The 19,003-nt window shown below is 43.4% G+C and overlaps 1 long non-coding RNA gene and 1 pseudogene across 1 annotated transcript in view, besides 1 other annotated feature; one reads left to right on the plus strand and one right to left on the minus strand.

Moving 5' to 3' along the window:
• The window catches only part of LOC101927708 (uncharacterized), a 64,008-nt gene that overhangs the window by 14,492 nt on the left and 30,513 nt on the right, over nucleotides 1-19,003 (minus strand). The gene's annotated exons all lie outside the window — the stretch shown is intronic.
• SNRPCP5 (small nuclear ribonucleoprotein polypeptide C pseudogene 5) lies at nucleotides 8,914-9,174 on the plus strand (annotated as a pseudogene).
• Nucleotides 12,222-12,721: an enhancer, noted in NCBI's record as "H3K4me1 hESC enhancer chr11:3555923-3556422 (GRCh37/hg19 assembly coordinates)". NCBI's record gives its function as "activates a minimal SCP1, AML or CMV promoter by ChIP-STARR-seq in primed H9 embryonic stem cells {active_cell/tissue: H9 hESC(primed)}" and the evidence as "EXISTENCE:reporter gene assay evidence [ECO:0000049][PMID:30033119]".

The following is a 19,003-nucleotide window of genomic DNA, read 5'->3' on the forward strand; positions in this document are numbered from 1 at the left end:
GTGCAGTGGTGCAATCTCAGCTGACTGCAAACTCTGCCTCCTGGGTTCAAGCGATTCTCCTGCCTCAGCCTCCCAAGTAGCTGGGATTACAGGGGCCTGCCACCACTCCCAGCTAATTTTTGTATTTTTAGTAGAGACGGGGTTTCACCATATTGTCCAGGATGCTCTCGATCTCTTGACCTCATGATCCGCCCACCTCAGCCTCCCAAAGTGTTGGGATTACAGGCATGAACCACTGTGCCCGGCTCATAAATACTGTTATTAATTTTGGGGGGTAGTTACTATATTTTGTGAAAATCAGAGTTCAGTACCTTGTAACACTGGGTTGAGATCTATCCCTGAAGGAACAGGCTTCTAAAGAGGAAGGCATGGAGAGAGGGGCAAAATTTCAGTGGATGTTGTAATGACTTTAGGTATATGGACCTGGGGCTGAGTTCTAGCTGGGACCACCAGGTGGCAAGGTGGACTTTGCTAAATTCTATCACTTTCCTGGGCCTCAGGCTCACTTGTTACAAATGGGGTTAAAGCATCCCTCTTTCAGGGCTAAGATAAAGATGATTAAGTAGAGGGAATGAAAGTATCTTCAATCAACGGTCAAAAGTATTCGTTTAATTTTTTTTTTTTTTTTTTTTTTTTTTTTTTTTTTTTTGAGATGGAGTCTCTCTCTGTTGCCCAGGTTGGAGTGCAGTGGCATGGTCCCGGGTCACTGCAACCTCCACCTCCTGGGTTCAAGTGATTCTCCTGCCTCAGCCTCCTGAGTAGCTGGGATTTCAGGTGCATGCCACCACGCCTGGCTAATTTTTATATTTTTAGTAGAGGCGGGGTTTCACCATAATGGCCAGGATGGTCTCCATCTCTTGACCTTATGATCCACCCACCTTAGCCTCCCAAAGTGTTGGGATTACAGTCATGAGCCACCACGTCCGGCCCATTTAACTGCTATAATACTTTCCTGTTGGTGGTTTTACCAGTGCAAACTGAGCAGCTTAAAACACCACCCAGTTATTATCTGTTTTCATGAGCCAAGGGTCTGGGCAGGGTTTAACTGGGTCTTCTATTCAGGGTCACAATACGGCAACCAGAGTGTCAGTTGGAGCTGGGGTCTCATTGGATGCTCAGTGTCTTCTTCCAAGCTTATTCAGTCTGTGAACTGAATTCAATTACTTACAATTGTTGAATGAAGGCCCTCAACTCCTAGAGCTGCCACCTCCAAACACAGCTCACAGCATGGCCATTTGTGTCTCCTTGGAGGCTAAGGGTTAAATCTCTGAAACTTCACCTTTAAAAGATTCACCTGATTAGGTCTGGCCCACCTAAGATCATCCTGCTTTGGATGAACTCAAAGTCAGCTGAGCAAATGTGCTTAACAAAGCAAGTGTGACCATAATCACATTTGCAAAATTCCTTCCTCTTGGCCAAATCACAAGCTCTGCACACACTCAAGAAGAGGAGATGACACAGGGAGCAGATATAAGGGAGTGGGTCTCTTGGGGGCTGTCCTAGAACTCTGCCCATTACAACATCCTTTCTCGAGGAACAGCAGGCCTGGGGAGAGATGATCACAGATGAGGGAAGCCCACAGGTGGTGAGTACCTGGTGCTGGGGTAGGATGCAGGAGGCTGTGAAGCAAGTATGAAAAGCCTTCTCCGGGCTGGGTGCAGTGGCTCACACCTGTAGTCCTAGCACTTTGGGAGGCCGAGGTGGGCGGATCACGAGGTCAAGAGATCAAGGCTATCCTGGCCAACCAACATGGTGAAACTCCGTCTCTACTAAAAATAAAAAAATTAGCTGGGCATGGTGGTGCATGTCTCTAACAACCCAGATCCCCAAGTGAGCAATTCATGTCCCTTTTAAGGGCTCACAAGTCTAAGGGGGTCCACATGAGAGGGTCTTGATCTATTGACCAAACAGGGAGTACGTGACTGGGGGCTGCATTCAGCAAACCCCATCTCTACTGAAAATACCAAAATTCAGCAAAGTTTCAGGATACAAAATCATTGTGCAAAAATCACAAGCATTCTTATACACCAACAACAAACAAACAGAGAGCCAAATCATGAGTGAACTCCCATTCACAATTGTTTCAAAGAGAATAAAATACCGAGGAATCTAACTTACAAGGGACATGAAGGACCTCTTCAAGGAGAACTACAAACCACTGCTCAATGAAATAAAAGAGGATATAAACAAATGGAAGAACATTCCATGCTCATGGCTAGGAGGAATCAATACCATGAAAATGGTCATACTGCCCAAGGTAATTTATAGATTCAATGCCATCCCCATCAAGTTACAAATGACTTTCTTCACAGAATTGGAAAAAACTACTTTAAAGTTCATATGGGACCAAAAAAGAGCCCACTTTGCCAAGTCAATCCTAAGCCAAAAGAACAAAGCTAGAGGCATCACACTACCTGACTTCAAACTATACTACCAGGCTATGGTAACCAAAACAGCATGGTACTGGTACAAAAACAGAGATACAGACTAATGAAACAGAACAGAGCCCTCAGAAATAATGCCACACATCTACAACCATCTGATCTTTGACAAACCTGACAAAAACAAGAAATGGGGAAAGGATTCCCTATTTAATAAATGGTGCTGGGAAAACTGGCTAGCCATATGGAGAAAGCTGAAACGGGATCCCTTCCTTACAGCTTATACAAAAATTAATTCAAGATGGACTAAAGACTTAAATGTTAGACCGAAAACCATAAAAACTCTAGAAGAAAACTTCAGCAATACCATTCAGGACATAGGCATGGGCAAGGACTTCATGTCTAAAACACCAAAAGCAATGGCAACAAAGCCAAAATTGACAAATGGGATCTAATTAAACTAAAGAGCTTCTGCACAGCAAAAGAAACTACCATCAGAGTGAACAGGTAACCTACAGAATAGGAGAAAATTTTTGCAATCTACTCATCTGACAAAGGGACCTATGGCTTTCTTATAACATAGAGAATATGGCAGAGGTGATGGGATGTAGTGATTATGTTAGATAGGACGTTAAGTTGTCTCGCTAGGAGGCTGTCTGTCTTGCTGGCTTTGAAGATGTGAGCTGCCATGTCATGAGCAGCCAGATGGAAAGACCCATGTGGCAAGAAGCTGAGGGCAGCAAGAACCTGGGGCCCTGAGTCCAGCAGCCTGCAAGGAACTGAATGCTGCCAACAACCAGATGAGCCTGGAAGCAGATCAATCACCAGTCAAGCCTCCAGATGAGAACTGAGCCCTGGCTGACACTATGGCTGCAGCCTTGCACTGAACCCAGCTGAGTCACGCCTGGATTCCTGACCCACAGAAACCATGCAGTGATAACTGTCTGCTGTCTCAAGCCACAAAGTTTGCAGTAATATTGTTGCACAGCAATAGATAACTAATATAAAAACTGTCCTACATCATGTACATTACTGAGCGAAATGTAGAACCTGGATTTGAGCTCTGATTTCAGAGTTGTGGTCTCAGTCTCCCCAGGGAAACCTGTCCTGGGAGACAGTTATGCCAGGCTGTGATGCTGTAATGATTGTTCTCTTCCTACCCAGAAGCTTTCAATAGGCATGTCAAGCATGTGACCCCAGCTACATATACCAAATGTATTTCTGACAAATGCCAGGACATCGTGAGCTTTCTTATTTTACTGAGAGCTCCATAAAGGAAGGATAATCTTAGACTTTTTTTTTTTTTAAGAGTCTCACTGTTACCCAGGCTGGAGTGCAATGGTGCGATCTTGGCTCACTGCAGTCTCTGCCTCCTGGGCTCAAGGGATTCTCCAGCCTCAGCCTCCTGAGTAGCTGGGATCAAAGGTGTACATCACCACACCCAGCTAATTTCATATTTTGGGTAGAGATGAGGTTTCGTCATGTTGGCCAGACAGATCTTGAACTCCTGGCCTCAAGTGATTTGCTTACCTCGGCATCCCAAAGTGCTGGGACTACAGGCATGAGCCACTGCACCTGGCCTGTCTTATTTATGTTATGTCTACGTGAAACAGCCCAGTGGTCAGCACACAAAGGGGTCCAAATGTGAAAGGAAAGAGCAAACAAAGGGGAAACATAGGGGTGTTCAGAAATAGTTCCCAGGTCACTGCCTGTTTCAATATGTACAGTCCTCGGCCCCACCCACAAGATTCTGACTTGGCAGGTGAGAATTGGAGATGGGGGAGCTACCTGGTTATGAGGGATCCCAGTTCATTTTGAGGCAGCTGGTTGTTAGACTGCATTGTACAAATTATCCCCCAAAGATGTGAAGGGATAATTTATGTATTTTTAATAGAGATAGGGTTTCACCATGTTGGCCAGGCAGGTCTCCAACTCCCAGCCTCAGGTGACCCGCCCACCTTGGCCTCCGAAAGTGCTGGGATTACAGGCATGAGCCTTTGCTCCTAGCAGCATTTTTTTAATGAGGCCAAATTCACATAACACACAACTCCCTGTATGAAACCATACACTTCAGTATCATTAAATTCATTCACAATGTTAAGCAATCATCCATCCTCTGTGTCTAGTTCCAAAACATTTTCATTAACACCCCCCACCCCCCCAAAAAATAACCCTGTATCCATCAAGCACTCTCCATCCCCTCCCCTTTCCCCCAGTTCCTGGCAACCAACTACCTGCTTTCTGCCTCTACAGATTTGCCTATTCTAGACCTTTCACATAAATGGAATCATGTAATATATATAATGACCAAAAGCTAGCAACAACCAAGATGGCCATTTGGTTGATGAATGAATAAACAAAATGTGCTGTATCCATACAGTGGAAGTATTGGTGCCTACTACATGTGGATGGACCTTGGAAACATCACGCTAAGTGAGAGAGAGCCTTGGTATTGTCTCATCTCCCCAGGAGATTCCAAGGTGCAGCCAAGGTTGAGACCCACTGACAAGCAATGGATATGGTTGGGTGCAGATGAAATAAGGCAGCCAGGGGCAGGAGGGATGTCTCATTGACGATGACTGTTTGTGGATGCCAAGCAGGGGTGGGGATGAGGTATGATAACAGCAACCCCAATCCCAACACTGCGTGACCGATTTTATCTTCAGCCAGCTGATACGCCTCATGGGATTTGGACACAGGAAATCTCTGCCTCCCAGGTTCAAGCAATAACTCCTGCCTCAGCCTCCTACGTAGCTGGGATTACAGGCATGTACCACCACACCTAGCTAATTTTTGTATTTTTAGTAGAAACGAGGCCTCATCATGTTGCCCAGGTTGGTCTCGAACTTCTGGCCTCAAATGATCCACCCACCTCAGCCTCCCAAAGCACTGGGATTACAGGCATGAACCACAGTGGCAGCCTCCAAATTCTATTTGAAGTTTGACTTCCCACCTCCAGAAAATCCAAACCTTTGCCCTAGTCACAGTGGGACACCCCGGAGTTAATTTGAGAGAAATGTGCTTTTAAAAACAACTCCAGGCCAGGCGCAGTGGCTCACGCCTATAATCTTAGCACTTTGGGAGGCCGAGGCGGACGGATCACGAGGTCAGGAGATCAAGACCATCCTGGCTAACACGGTGAAACCCCGTCTATACTAAAAATACAAATAATTAGCCGGGTGTGGTGGCGCATGCCTGTAAGCCCAGCTCCTCGGGAGGCTGAGGCAGGAGAATCGCTTGAACCAGGGAGTCAGAGGTTGCAGTGAGCTGAGAGCGCGCCACTGCACTCCAGCCTGATGACAGAGAGAGATTCCGTCTCAAAATAAATAAATAAAACCCTCCGATATGAACACCAAACTAGAATCACTGCATTGACTTCCCTCCACCAATCAGGGAGAGTGATGGTGATGGTGCCTGAGTGTCTATTTGCATTGAGTCTTAATGGAAAATAAGGTTGTGTCAAGCAAAGGAAAAACAAATCACAGCCCAGACTGGAGCTGTGGATGAATAACATGGCTGAGTGTTGGTACAGGCTTTCCACAGCAATATTAAAGCTGAAAAAATCAGCAATGAAGCTCCCAGCCACATTTCTGCCCAATGATTTGGGGGAAAACAACAGAGGCACTCCTCAACTTTTCCTTCGCTGCACAAAGTGGGTTTGGCTAGAAATGCCAAATGTGCTTGTTGCTGGGGTCTTTCAAATGAAGCAAGCTGGGAGTCAACCTCCTGCAGCTGCAGGCCAGAAATGGGTTTAGACCAAACTATTATAGTAACACTGGGGCACATCTAAACAGATTTAACTCCCTCCCAGCAATCCAGATTAATTTAATATGCTTTCTTAATGGCATTCCGCATTTCTCATTAAAGCAAATGAACGTCCATCCCTCTGTGATAAATTAGGTCAAAAAACATTCATATATTTAGGGCACAGGGAAGGAGGAGTTGTTGGATGTTAAAAAAAAAAAAAAAAAAAAGTCCTGCAAATGGCCTTTCAGAGTCTAGACATCTTCATCATCAACACAAATATTCCTCTTCACAAAGGGACCTCAAGTAACCTTAGGCTGGAGGGCCCACCTGCGTATTTCTTCTCATTCTTTCTTACCTTCCCTCCAGCCCACACAACTCACATTCAGTGACCAAGTCACGTGGGTTTTACCTCCTAAATCTTTCTCATATCCTTCACTGCTCAGCCACTCTCCTGACACCACCATAAACCAAGCCACCATCACCTCCAGCTGTTTGACTGCAAATGCCTCCAGACTGGCCTCTGCTTTTCCCTGGCCCTGTGACAATCTGCACTCCTCACAGAGACCAAAGCAATCACTTCAGAAGGTGCATCCAAACAGATCACTCAGCTTTCAATGGCTCCCTCTGCTGTGTGGGTTAACAATGATAAAAGCTCGGCCGGGCGCGGTGGCTCACGCCTGTAATCCCAGCACTTTGGGAGGCCGAGGCAGTCAGATCACAACGTTAGGAGATTCAGACCATTCTCGCTAACACGGTGAAACCCCGTCTCTACCAAAAATACAAAAAAATTAGCCGGGCGTGGTGGCGGGCACCTGTAGTCCCAGCTACTCCGGAGGCTGAGGCAGAAGACTGGCGTGAACCCGGGAGGTGGAGCTTGCAGTGAGCCGAGACCGCGCCAATGCACTCCGGCCTGGGCGACAGAATGAGACTCCATCTCAAAAAAAAAAAAAAAAAAAAAGATAAAAGGTCACCTTTACTGAGCACACACTATCTCAGTCCATCCCTACATCAGCCCTTGATTTCACCAGTGGGGAAGCTGGGACACAGAGTAGTTACGTGGGATGCCCAAGGTGGGACCACTCGTGTGAAGTTTCCACACCCTAATGTGAGACCCTCCATGACCTAGCCCCTCTCTTTCTCCAGCCTCATTTCCTGATTCTCTCGCTTGCCCTGCAGGCTTCAGCCACAGAAACTTCTTGAAAGTCCCTTAAATCTGGCTGAGCGCAGTGGCTCACGCCTGAAATCCCAGCACTTTGGGAAGCTGAGGCGGGTGGATCACCTGAGATCAGGAGTTCGAGACCAGCCTGGTCAACATGGTGGAACCCCATCTCTACTAAATATCCCAAAATTAGCCAGGTGTGGCGGATGGCACCTGTAATCCTAGCTACTCGGGAGACTGAGGCAGGAAAATCGCTTGAACTCGGGAGGCAGAGGTTGCAGTGAGCCAGGATCGCGCCACTCCACGCAAGCCTGGGCGTCAAGAGTGAAAGTCCGTCTCAAAAACAAAAGTCCCTTAAATCTGCTCTATGCCTGTCAACCTCAGGGACTTCACTGTGCTGTTCCTCACCCTGAAATGCTGTTCCTCATTTCTCCACATAGTGAACTCATCCCACCCCCTAGGCCTCTCCTTAAGTGTCATCTCTTCAAGGAAGATTTTACTTTTTTAATATAACTATTAAAATATAATTCAGGTACCGTATGCTTTGCCAATTTAAAGTAAACAAATCAATGGTTTCAGTGCATTCACAGAGCTCGGCAACCATCATCATGATCAATTTTAAAACATTTTCATCACTCCAAAAGAAACCCTGTATCCATGAGCAGGTACCTGCCATTTCCTCCTCCCACTAAGCCCTGACAATCTACTTTTTTTGAGATAGAGTCTCTGTCACAGGCTGGAGTGCAGTGGCACAATCTCAGCTCACTGCAACCTCCGCCTCCTGGGTTCAAGCAATTCTCCTGCCTCCCGAGTAGCTGGGATTACAGGGATATGCCACCACGCCCATCTAATTTTGTATTTTTAGTAGAGACAGGGTTTCTGTCTTCATAGATTTGCGTGTTCTGGACATTTCATATAAATGAAATCTTAGAATATGTGACCTTTTGTGACTGGTTTCTTCTACTTAGCATAATATTCTCATAGTTCATCCGTGTTGTAGCACGTGTGAGTACTTCATTCCTTTTGATGACTGAATAATATTCCATTGCATGGTCAAACCATGTTCTATTTCTCCACTCATCAGTAGACAAGCATTTGTGTTGTTTTCACTTTGGCGCTATTATGAATAATGCTGCTATGAGCGTTTGTGTACAAGTATCTGCACGGACATATATTTTCATTTCTTTCATAAACTGGAGTGGAAGTGCTGGGTCATAGAACTCTGTGTTTAAGCTTTTGAAGAAGTGCCAGACTGTGTAAGAAAGAAAGCCTTTCCTCACTCCCTCTCTCCATTTATACGTTCTCTTTATGCCCTTTGCTTCTCTTTCAGAGCAATTCACGTTGACCTGGGTCACCCTCAACTTAAGGCTCATGACTCCCCTAGATCCTCAGGGTCCACACTAAATGTGATGAAATATGATGCAAGCCACATATTTACTTTTGCATTTTGTAGTAACCACATTTTAAAAAGTAAAACAAAAGAAGTGAAGGTAATTGGAATAATATCACGGATTTAAACAAATCTATCCGAAATACCAGGTCTACATGTATAAAATATTTTAACATTAACAAAATACTTTGCTTTCTTTTTACATTAAGTCTTCACAATCTAATGTGTATTTGACACTTCTCGCCCATCTCAGAATGATGGCAGCACCCCATGGGGGGGCCCTCCCATGATGCCAATGATGGGCCCTCCTCCTCCTGGGATGATGCCAGTGGGACCTGCTTCTGTAATGAGGCCGCCCATGGGAGGCCACATGCCCATGATGCCTGGGTGCCCAATGATGAGACCTCCTGCCCGTCTCATGATGGTGCCCAGTCAGCCCAGAATGACTCGACCAGACAGATAAGGATAGAGGGGAGGCCTCATTACATCAGTGTTGTTTTGTTGTAATTATTGTTGTGTTTTCTTTGTTTGTAATGTTTTGTTTTGTTTTTGAGACACAGTCTTCCTCTGTCGCCCAGGCTGGAGGGCAGTGGCACGATCTCAGTTCACTGAAACCTCCACCTCCCGCGTTCAAGCGATTCCCCTGCCTCAGCCTCCTGAGTAGCTGGGACTACAGGCGTGCGCACCATGCCCGACAAATTTTTTTTATTTTAGTAGAGACAGGGTTTCACCATGTTGGCCAGGATGGTCTCAATCTCCTGACCTCGTGACCTGCTCGCCTCAGCCTCCCAAAGTGCTGGGATTACAGGTGTGAGCCACTGCGCCCGGCCTATATGAGTTTTATATTTACCTGCTCCCTTCACCAGGAGATCATGCTTCTGTGATGCTGGGTTTTCTTAACAGCATAAGGAAGACTTGCCCCCTTGCCCTATCAAAGAGAATAGTTTTGGAGGGGAGAAGTGGGACCAAAAAAGATGCAGTTTTCATTTGTATTGGGAAATGTGAAAATAAAATTGTCAACTCTTTTAGTTAAAAACAACAACAAAAAAGGAAACGAGATGTGGGGCTGCCACACGCAATATCGTGCATTAAAAGGATCTTCTACTCTGGATGAAAATATCTTTGCTGATGCCAGACCAACCTAACACAAAGACCTTTTGGTTTTTTAATGTGACTGTGTTTTATTTTACAATGTGTAATTCACTTTAGAAGGGCAAAGTACCTGTCTGGGGAAGACTATTTAATTTCCTGCATTTATTTAGAATATTGGCTAATGTTATTCTGAAGGGAAATATCTCTAACAAGTGAGTGCCCCCCACATAGACACAGCTCATGAGCTCACGGGGCAAAGGAATTGAACAGCAGCCTCCTAATAGCTAGCCTTCTTTGTGGAATGGAAATAATTATCAGCATGTAAAAGACTATATATATATTCAACAATTCTGACCCCCCACAAAATTCAAATCTACAATTGATTTGCTTCCTGGGCTCCTGAAAACAACTTTGTCAAAATTGTTCAGAAATAAAATCAGCCAATCGTTGCCCCTTGGGGACGCAAGACAAAGCAAATCAGCCATGACCAATGTGCAATGTGGAGTCGGCCGTACACAATTACATGCAGACCTGCAGGACATCGAGTCCCTGCTATGGTCCCTCCCCAGTCAGGCCCCCATTGCCTGGGCTGCAGCCAGAAGCATTCAGGCACAAGTGCATTCAACAAATACTTATTTAATTGTATTGGTGGTTAGAAGGTTGTTGTTGATTAAGGTACATTAATGGATCCAAGTCCTCCCTGTATCCAAGACTCTGCCATTTGTCTCTGCAGTTCCTCCCACTGAAGAATCGGAGTATATTTCTCCAGCCCCTAATGTTGGGTTTAGTCATGTGTCTAGCTTTGGCCACTGGAATATTAATCTGCATGACCAAAAACTTGGAAAGTATGCATTCATTTGTGCTCACTCACTCCTGCTATCACCATGAGAACAAGCCCAGGCCAGCCTGCTGCTTCCAGCAGAAGATAAGAGACACCAACAGCAAAGTAGAGCTTCCCAGACATGCTTATGCTAGATTAACCAATCCTCAGCTGACCCATAGATCCATGAAAATAAATGACTGTTGTATTAAGCCACTGAGATTTGGAGTGACTTGTTATGCAGCATTTTGTGACAATAACTAACTGATACAAGGGTCACCATCCTTTATCTCTGTAGATTTTAACCAATTTTTAATAGCTAGATGGAGATCTTCTAGTTGCCTTTATTTATAATGAATAAGACTGTAGAGCTAGTTTGGCCTGACACTACCAGTTACCTACCCAGAAATTCAGAAATACTTTCTTTTCCAACCCACCCCAACCAACCATTTTTTTTTTTTTTTTGAAACGGAGTCTTACTCTTTGCCTAGGCTAGAGTACAAGTGGCACAGTCAGAGCTCACTGTAATCTCAAAATCCTGGGCTCCCCTGATCTTCCCCTTCAACCTCCTATGTAGCTAAGACTACAGACATGTGCCACCATGCCTGGCTAATTTTTTTATTCTTTGCAGAGACAGGATCTCACTATATTGCCCAAGTTGGTTTCAAACTCCTGGCCTCAAGCAGTCCTCCTTCCTCACCCTCCCAAAGTGCTAGGATTATAGGCATGAGCCACCACACCCAGCCTCTTCTTCTTTTTTAAATAGAAACCCTATTTTATTCTGACAGCGGGTTGCTTTCTTCTTTTTTTTTTTTTTTTTTTTTTAGAAAAAATTGGCCCAGCCCCAGGGAATAAATTGTGACTGGTCTAAACAGGGTTGGCAAACTATAGACCAAGGGCCAAATCTGGCCCTCTGACTGTTTGTATAAATTAAGTTTTACTGGAATAAAACCAGGTCCATTCATTTATGCATTGTCTACATATGCTTTTAGGCTATGATGGCACCACTGCGTCACTGCAACAGAGGTTATCTAGACCAAAAGCCTAAGATATTACCGTTTGCTTCTTTATGGAAAAAGTTAGCCATTCCCCAGTCTAAGGTTTAGATTCTGAGCTTAACATTTTAGCCTACCCCCACTTACCAGTGACTGGCTCAAAACAAGTCTGTGATTCCATTCTGACTATTCTACTGAGGGAAATCCCCCTTCTTCTCATGCAGAGCTGATGAGGGTAAGTTGTATTAATAGGACATATGCTCAGGTTTTCTGAAAAATACTTTTATCTAGAAATGCATAGGAATATGCTGGTGCCTGAATGTACCATCTGGGGGCCTGGAGATTGACTCACACTGCCTCCAGAGCTAGTGCTCACACTTACTACTGAGAGGCCTGAAGAAACACCTGCCGAACCCACCACCAGAACCTGCACACGTCACCTGGAGAACTAGAGATGAGCCTGCCACACACACCACCCAGGAGCCCAGTGGCGCTCCTGCCCACCTGGCCCAGTGCTGCCACTGCCAGCAACCAAAGAAGCCACCTGGAGGCCCAGGGATTGGCCCATGCAGACAGGCTATCATCAGTGCCCACATACACTGCCCATGGTCCCTAGTATTGACACACCTGGTCTACCACCACTACCACTGATGCTGAAGGACAAGACTTCCAGGCATCCCCATCCTCAGCAAAGCCTCACCACAGCCTCCAATAACAACTGCAGTCTGGCTGGGCGCGGTGGCTCACACCTGTAATCCCAGCACTTTGAGAGGCTGAGGCAGGTAGATCACGAGGTCAGGAGTTCGAGACCAGCCTGGCCAACGTGGTGAAACCCCGTCTCTACTAAAAATACAAAAATTAGCTGGGCGTGGTGGCACGTGCCTGTAGTCCCAGCTACTCAGGAGGCTGAGACAGGAGAATCGCTTGAACCTGGGAGGCAGAGGTTGCAGTGAGCTTAGATTGTGTCACTGCACTCCAGCCTGGTGACAGAGCTAGACTCCATCTCAATCACAAACACACAAACAAAAAAAACTGCAGTCTAAGCCACTGAATAACTCACAGACACCACTCATGCCAATTACAACTGAAGAAATCATATGCAGATTATACCACTGTACCCACCCAGAATCAAAGCCAAAGTGTGATATCCAATGAACACTGTAGATACAGCTATAAGAAAAGGTCTTTCCCATATAAAAGCCAACCCAGAAAATTGGAAGAAGTGACTGCTATGTCAGAGGCACAGATAGTCACATAAGGACGCAAGAAATATGAAAAAGGAAACATAACATCTCCAAAGAAGCACAATAATTCTCCAGCAACAGATTCCAATGAAAAGAAAATCTATGAAATGCCTGAAAAAAATTCAGAATAATGATATTAAAGAAACTCAGGGAGATATAAGAGAGCACAGATAATGAATACAAAAAAATCAGGAAAACAATTCATGATCTGAATGAGAAATTCAACAGGGATAGACAGCATAACAAAGAACAAAACACAAATCCTGGAAGAGATGAAATCATTGAAAGAAATACAAAAGACAACTGACAGTTTTAACAATAGACTAGATCAAGCAAAACAAAGAATTTCTGAACCTGAAGACTAGTCTTTTAAAATAATCCAATCAGACAAAAAGAAAGAAAAAAGAATGAAGCAAGGCTACATGACATATGGGACACATATGTGACCAAAAACTGAAATTCTGGGAGTTCTGGATGGAGATGAGATGGGTAAAGGCATAGAAAACCTATTTAATAAAATAATAACTGAAAACTTCCTGAAAGCTTCCAAATACAGGAAGCTCAAAGATTACCAAATTAATACAACTCAAAAAGGTCTTCTCCAAGGACACTATGGTAAAATTGTCAAAAGACAAAGAGAAAATGCTAAAAACAGCAAGAGAAAAGCATCAAGTCACTTATAAGAGAATCTCCACCAGGCTAACAAGGGATTTCTCAGCAGAAACCTTACAGGCTAGGAGAAAAGGGGATGTATACTACAAGTTAAAAAAAAAAAAAAAGTAAGGCAAAAATGCTATACCCAGCAAAGCTATCCTTCACAAATGATGAAGATTGGCACAGTGGCTCACATCTGCAATTCCAGAGACTCAGAAGGCTGAGGCAGGAGGATCATTTGAGCCCAGGAGTTCAAGGCTGCAGTGAGCTATGATCATGCCACTGTACTCCAGCCTGGGTGACAGAGTGAGACTCCATTCCTTAAAAAAGAGAAAAAATATTTCCCAGATAAGCAAAAGACTGTTTGTTTGTGTCTTGTTTGTTGTGGTCCTACAAAAAATGCTTAAGGGAGTCCTACACTGGGAAGCAAAAGAACAGTATCTACCATCATGAAAATACATGAAAGTATAAAACTCATGGTAGTGCAGACACACAAAGGAGAAAGGATGCAAACGTCACCACTAAAGAAAACCACCAAATTGCAGCAATAAATAATGAGAGAAAAAAGGAACAAAGGTGTATTAGTCTGTTTTCACACTGCTGATAAAGACATACCTGACTGAGACTGGGCAATTTACAAAAGAAAGAGGTTTAATGGAGTTACATTTCCACGTAGCTGAGGAAGCCTCACAATCATGTTGGAAGGCAAGAAAAAGCAAGTCATGTCTCACCTGGATGGAAGCAGGCAAAGAGAGAGCTTCTGCAGGGAAACTACCCTTTTTAAAACCATCAGAACTTGTGAGACGTATTCACTGTCATGAGAACAGCATGGGAAAGACCTACCCCCATGACTCAATTACTTCCCACCGGGTCCCTCCTACAACATGTGGGAATTCAAGATGAGATTTGGGTGGGCACACAACCAAAGCATATCATTCTGCCCCTGGCCCTTGCCAAATCTCATTTCAAAACAAATTATGCCTTCCCAACACTCCCCCAAAGTCTTAACTAAGTTCAGCATTAACTCAAAAGTCCACAGTCCAAAGTCTCATGTGAGACAAGGCAAATCCCTTCCGCCTATGAGCATGTAAAATCAAAAACAAGTCAGTTACTTCCTAGATACAATGGGGGTATAGGCATTGGGTAAACACAGTCATTCCAAATGAGACAAAATTGCCAAAACAAAGGGGCTACAGGCCCCATGCAAGCCCAAAATCCAGTGGGGCAGTCAAATCTCAAAGCTCCAAAATGATCTCCTTTGACTCCATGTCTCACATGCAGGTCATGCTGATGTAAGAGGTGGGCTCCCACGGCTTTGGGAGAAAAAAGGCCACAGCTCCACTCTTGTGGCTTTGTGGGTATAAACCCCCTCCTGGCTCCTTTCACGGGTTGGCATTGAGTGTCTGCAGCTTTTCCAGGCACACAGTGCAAGCTGTCAGTGAATCCACCATTCTGGGGTCTGGAGGATGGTGGTCATCTTCTCACAGCTCCACTAGGTGGTGCTGCAGTAGGAACTCTATGTGGGGGCTCCGACCCCACATTTCCCTTCTGCACTGCCCTAGTAGAGGTTCTCCATGAGTGCCCTGCCCCTGCAGCAAACTCCTGCCTGGACAACTAGGCATTTCCATTCACCTTCTGAAGTCTAGGCAGCAGTTCCCAAACCTCGATTTTTGACTTCTGTGCACCCATAGGCTCAACACTATGTGGAAGCTGCTAAGGTTTGGGGCTTGCACCCTCTCAAGCCACAGCCCACATTGTACCTTGGCTCCTTTTAGCTGCAGCTGGAGTGGCTAAGACTCAGGCACCCGAGGCTGCTCACAGCAGGGGGGCCCTGGGTCCAGTCCACAAAACTATCTTTTCTTCCTAGGCCTCTGGGCCTTTGATGGGAGGGGCTGCCATGAAGCTCTGTGACATGCCCTGGAGACATTTTCCCCATTGTCTTGGAGATTCACATTTGACTCCTCGTTACTTAAACAAACTTCTGCAGCCAGATTGAATTTTTCTTGAGAAAATGGGATTTTCTTTTCTATTGCATTGTCAGACTGCTAATCTTCCAAACTTTCATGCTCTGCTTCCCTTATAAAACTGAGGGCCTTTAACAGCACCCAAGTCATCTCTTGAATGCCTTGCTGCTTAGAAATTTCTTCTACCAGATACCCTAAATCCTCTCTCTCAAGTTCAAAATTCCACAAATCTCTAAAGCAGGGGCAAAATGCCACCAGTCTCTTTGCTAAAACATAACAGGAATCACTTTTGTGCCAGTTCCCAGCAAGTTCCTCATTTCCATCTGAGACCACCTCAGCCTAGACTTTATTGTCCATATAACCATCAGCATTTTGGGCAAGTCTCTAGGAAATCTCTTCCAAAATTTCCCACATTTTCCTGTCTCCTTCTGACCCCTCCAACCTCTGCCTGTTTCCCAGTTCCAAAGTCACTTCCACATATTCAGGTATCTTTTAGGAACACCCCACTTCTGGTACCAATTTACTGTATTAGTTCATTCTCACACAGCTGATAAAGACACATACAAGACTGGGAAATTTACAAAAGAAAGAGGTTTAATGGACTTACAGTTCTATGTTGCTGGGGAGGCTTCAAAATCATTGCGGAAGTCAAGGAGAGACAAGTCACATCTTACAGGGATGGCAGCAGGTAAAGAGAGAGCTTGAGCAGGGAAACTCCTCCTTTAAAACCATCAGATCTCATGAGACTTACTCACTATCAAAAGAATAGCATGGAAAATACCTGCCCCCATGATTCAACTACTTCCCACTGGGTCCCTCCCACAACACATGGGAATTCAAGATGAGATCTGAGTGGGGACACAGCCAAACCAAATCAAAAGGATATACAAAATAACCAGAAAACAATGAAAAAAATGACAGGAATAAGTCCTTACCTATCAATAATAACTTCGAATATGTGTTAAATTACCTACCTAAAAGATAGAGACAGGTTTAATGGATAAAAAATGACCCAACAACGTCTACAAGAAACTCACTTCACTTGTAAAGACACACACAGACTGAAAGTGAAGAGATTGAAAAAGACATGCCACACAAACAGAAATAAAAAGTAATCAGGAGTAGCTAAACTCACATCAGCTAAAACAGACTTTAAGTCAAAAACTGTAAAAAGGACAAAGAAGGTCATTATATGGTAATAAAGGGATAAATTAAGCAACAAAATATAACAATTCTAAATGTGCATGCACCAACACAAGTGCATCCAGACACACATAGCAAATATTATTAAATCTACAGGGAGAGATAGAGTCCAATACAATGATAGTTGAGAATTTCAATATCCTACTGTCAGCATTGGACAGTTCATCTAGACATAAAATCAACACAGAAACATTAGATTTAAGCTGCACTTTAGACCAAATGGACCTAACAGATATTTTCAGAATATTTCATCCAGCAGCAGCAGAATACACAATCATCTCATCAACACATGGAACATTCTCCAGGATAGACCATATGTTAGGACACAAAACAAGGCTCAACAAAATTTTAAACATTAAAATCATATCAAGTATCTTCTCAGACCACAATGGAATAAAACTTGAAATCAATAACAAGAAGAAATTTGGAAACTGTAAAAATACATGAACATTAAATGTGCTATTGAATGAATAGGGCAATGAAGAAATTAAGATGGAAATCAAAAAATTTTTTTAAACAGAAAATGGAAACACATCATGCAAAACCTATGGGATACAGCAAAAGCAGTACTAGGAGGAAAGTTTATAGCAATAAATGCCTACACCAAAAAAGTAGAAAGATCTCAAATAAACAACCTAATGATGCACCTCAAGGAACTCAAAAAGCAAGAACAAACCAAACACACAATTAGTAGAAAGAAAAAAAAAATAACAGCAGAACCAAATGCAACAGAGACAAAAAAGAAATGCAAAGAATCAACAAGATAAAAGTTTTTTTTTTGAAAAGTTAAACAAAATTGATAAACCACTAGTGAGGCTAACCAAAAAAAAAAAAAAAAAAAAAAAAAAAAAAAAAAAAAAAAAAAAGGAGACCCAAATAAATACAATCAGAAATGAAAAAGGAGACATTACAACTGTTACCAAAGAAATAAAAAGGATGATTAGAGGCTATTATGAACAACCATATCCTAACAAATTGGAAAACTTAGAGGAAAGGGATAAATTCCCAGACATACACAGCCTACCAAGATTGAACTAGGAAGAAACAGAAAACCTGAACTGACTCAAAATGAATAGCAGGTTTGAATCAGTAACAAAAAGTCTCCCCAAAGAGGAAAGCCCTAGACTAGGCTTTTATGCTGATTTCTACCCAGTTTATAAAGAAAAACAAACATCAATTCTTCTCAAACTATTCCCAAAAATTGAAGAGGAGGGAATTCTTCCTAACTCATTGTGTAAGGCCAGCATTACCCTGATATCCAATCAAGACAAGGACACAACAGAAAGAGAAAACTACAGGCCAATATTCCTAATGAACACAGATGGAAAAATTCTCAGCATAATACTACCAAGCCAAATCTAATGATGAATGTAAAAGATAATATACCATGATCAAGTGGGATTTATCCCAGGAATGCAAAGATGGCTCAACATACACAAAATCAATGCATGTGATACATCACATCAACAAGATGAAAGGCAAAAACTATCTGATCATCTCAGCAGATGCAGAAAAATCACTCGGTAAAACTTACCATTCCTTCATGATGAAAACTCTCAACAAATTAGGCATAGAAGGAACACTTCATCATAAGAAAAGGCATATATGACTAATCTACAGCTAACATCCTACTCACTGGGAAAAATTGAAAAGCTTTTCCTCTAAGAACTGGAACAAGACAAGGATGCCTACTTTCACCACTCTTATTCAACACAGTATGGGACATCCAAGCCAGAGTGATCAGACAAGATAAAGAAATAAAAGGCATCAAAACTAGACAAGAGGAAGTCAAATTGTCTCACTTTGCAGATGACATAATCTTATACTTGTAAACAGAAAAACCTAAAGACTCCACCAAAAAACTCTTAAAATGGATAAATTAGGCTGGGCATGGTAGCTCATGCCTGTTATCCCAGCACTTTGGGAGGCCAAGGTGGGCGGATCACCTGAGGTTGGGAGTTTGAGACCAGCCTAGCCAACATGGTGAAATCCTGTCTCTATTAAAAATACAATTAACCAGGCATGGTGGTAGGTGCCTGTAATCCCAGCTACTTGGGAGGCTGAAGCAGGAGAATCGCTTGAAACCCAGAAGCGGAGGTTGCAGTGAGCCAAGATTGCATCACTGCACTCCAGCCTGGGCAACAGAGTGAGACTCTATCTCAAAAAATAAAAAACAAAAAAATTTTAAAAAAACAGATGTATAAGTCAGTAAAGCTTCAGGACACAAAATCAACATACAAAAATCAGTAATGTTTCTATATACCAGTAACAAACTAGCTAAAAAAGAAACCAAGGAAGAAATTCTATTTACAATAGCTACAAAAATAAAATGCCTAGGAATAAACTTAACCAAG

The sequence above is a fragment of the Homo sapiens genome, chromosome 11 (genome assembly GCF_000001405.40).
Source record: "Homo sapiens chromosome 11, GRCh38.p14 Primary Assembly".
Taxonomy (NCBI): domain Eukaryota; kingdom Metazoa; phylum Chordata; class Mammalia; order Primates; family Hominidae; genus Homo; species Homo sapiens.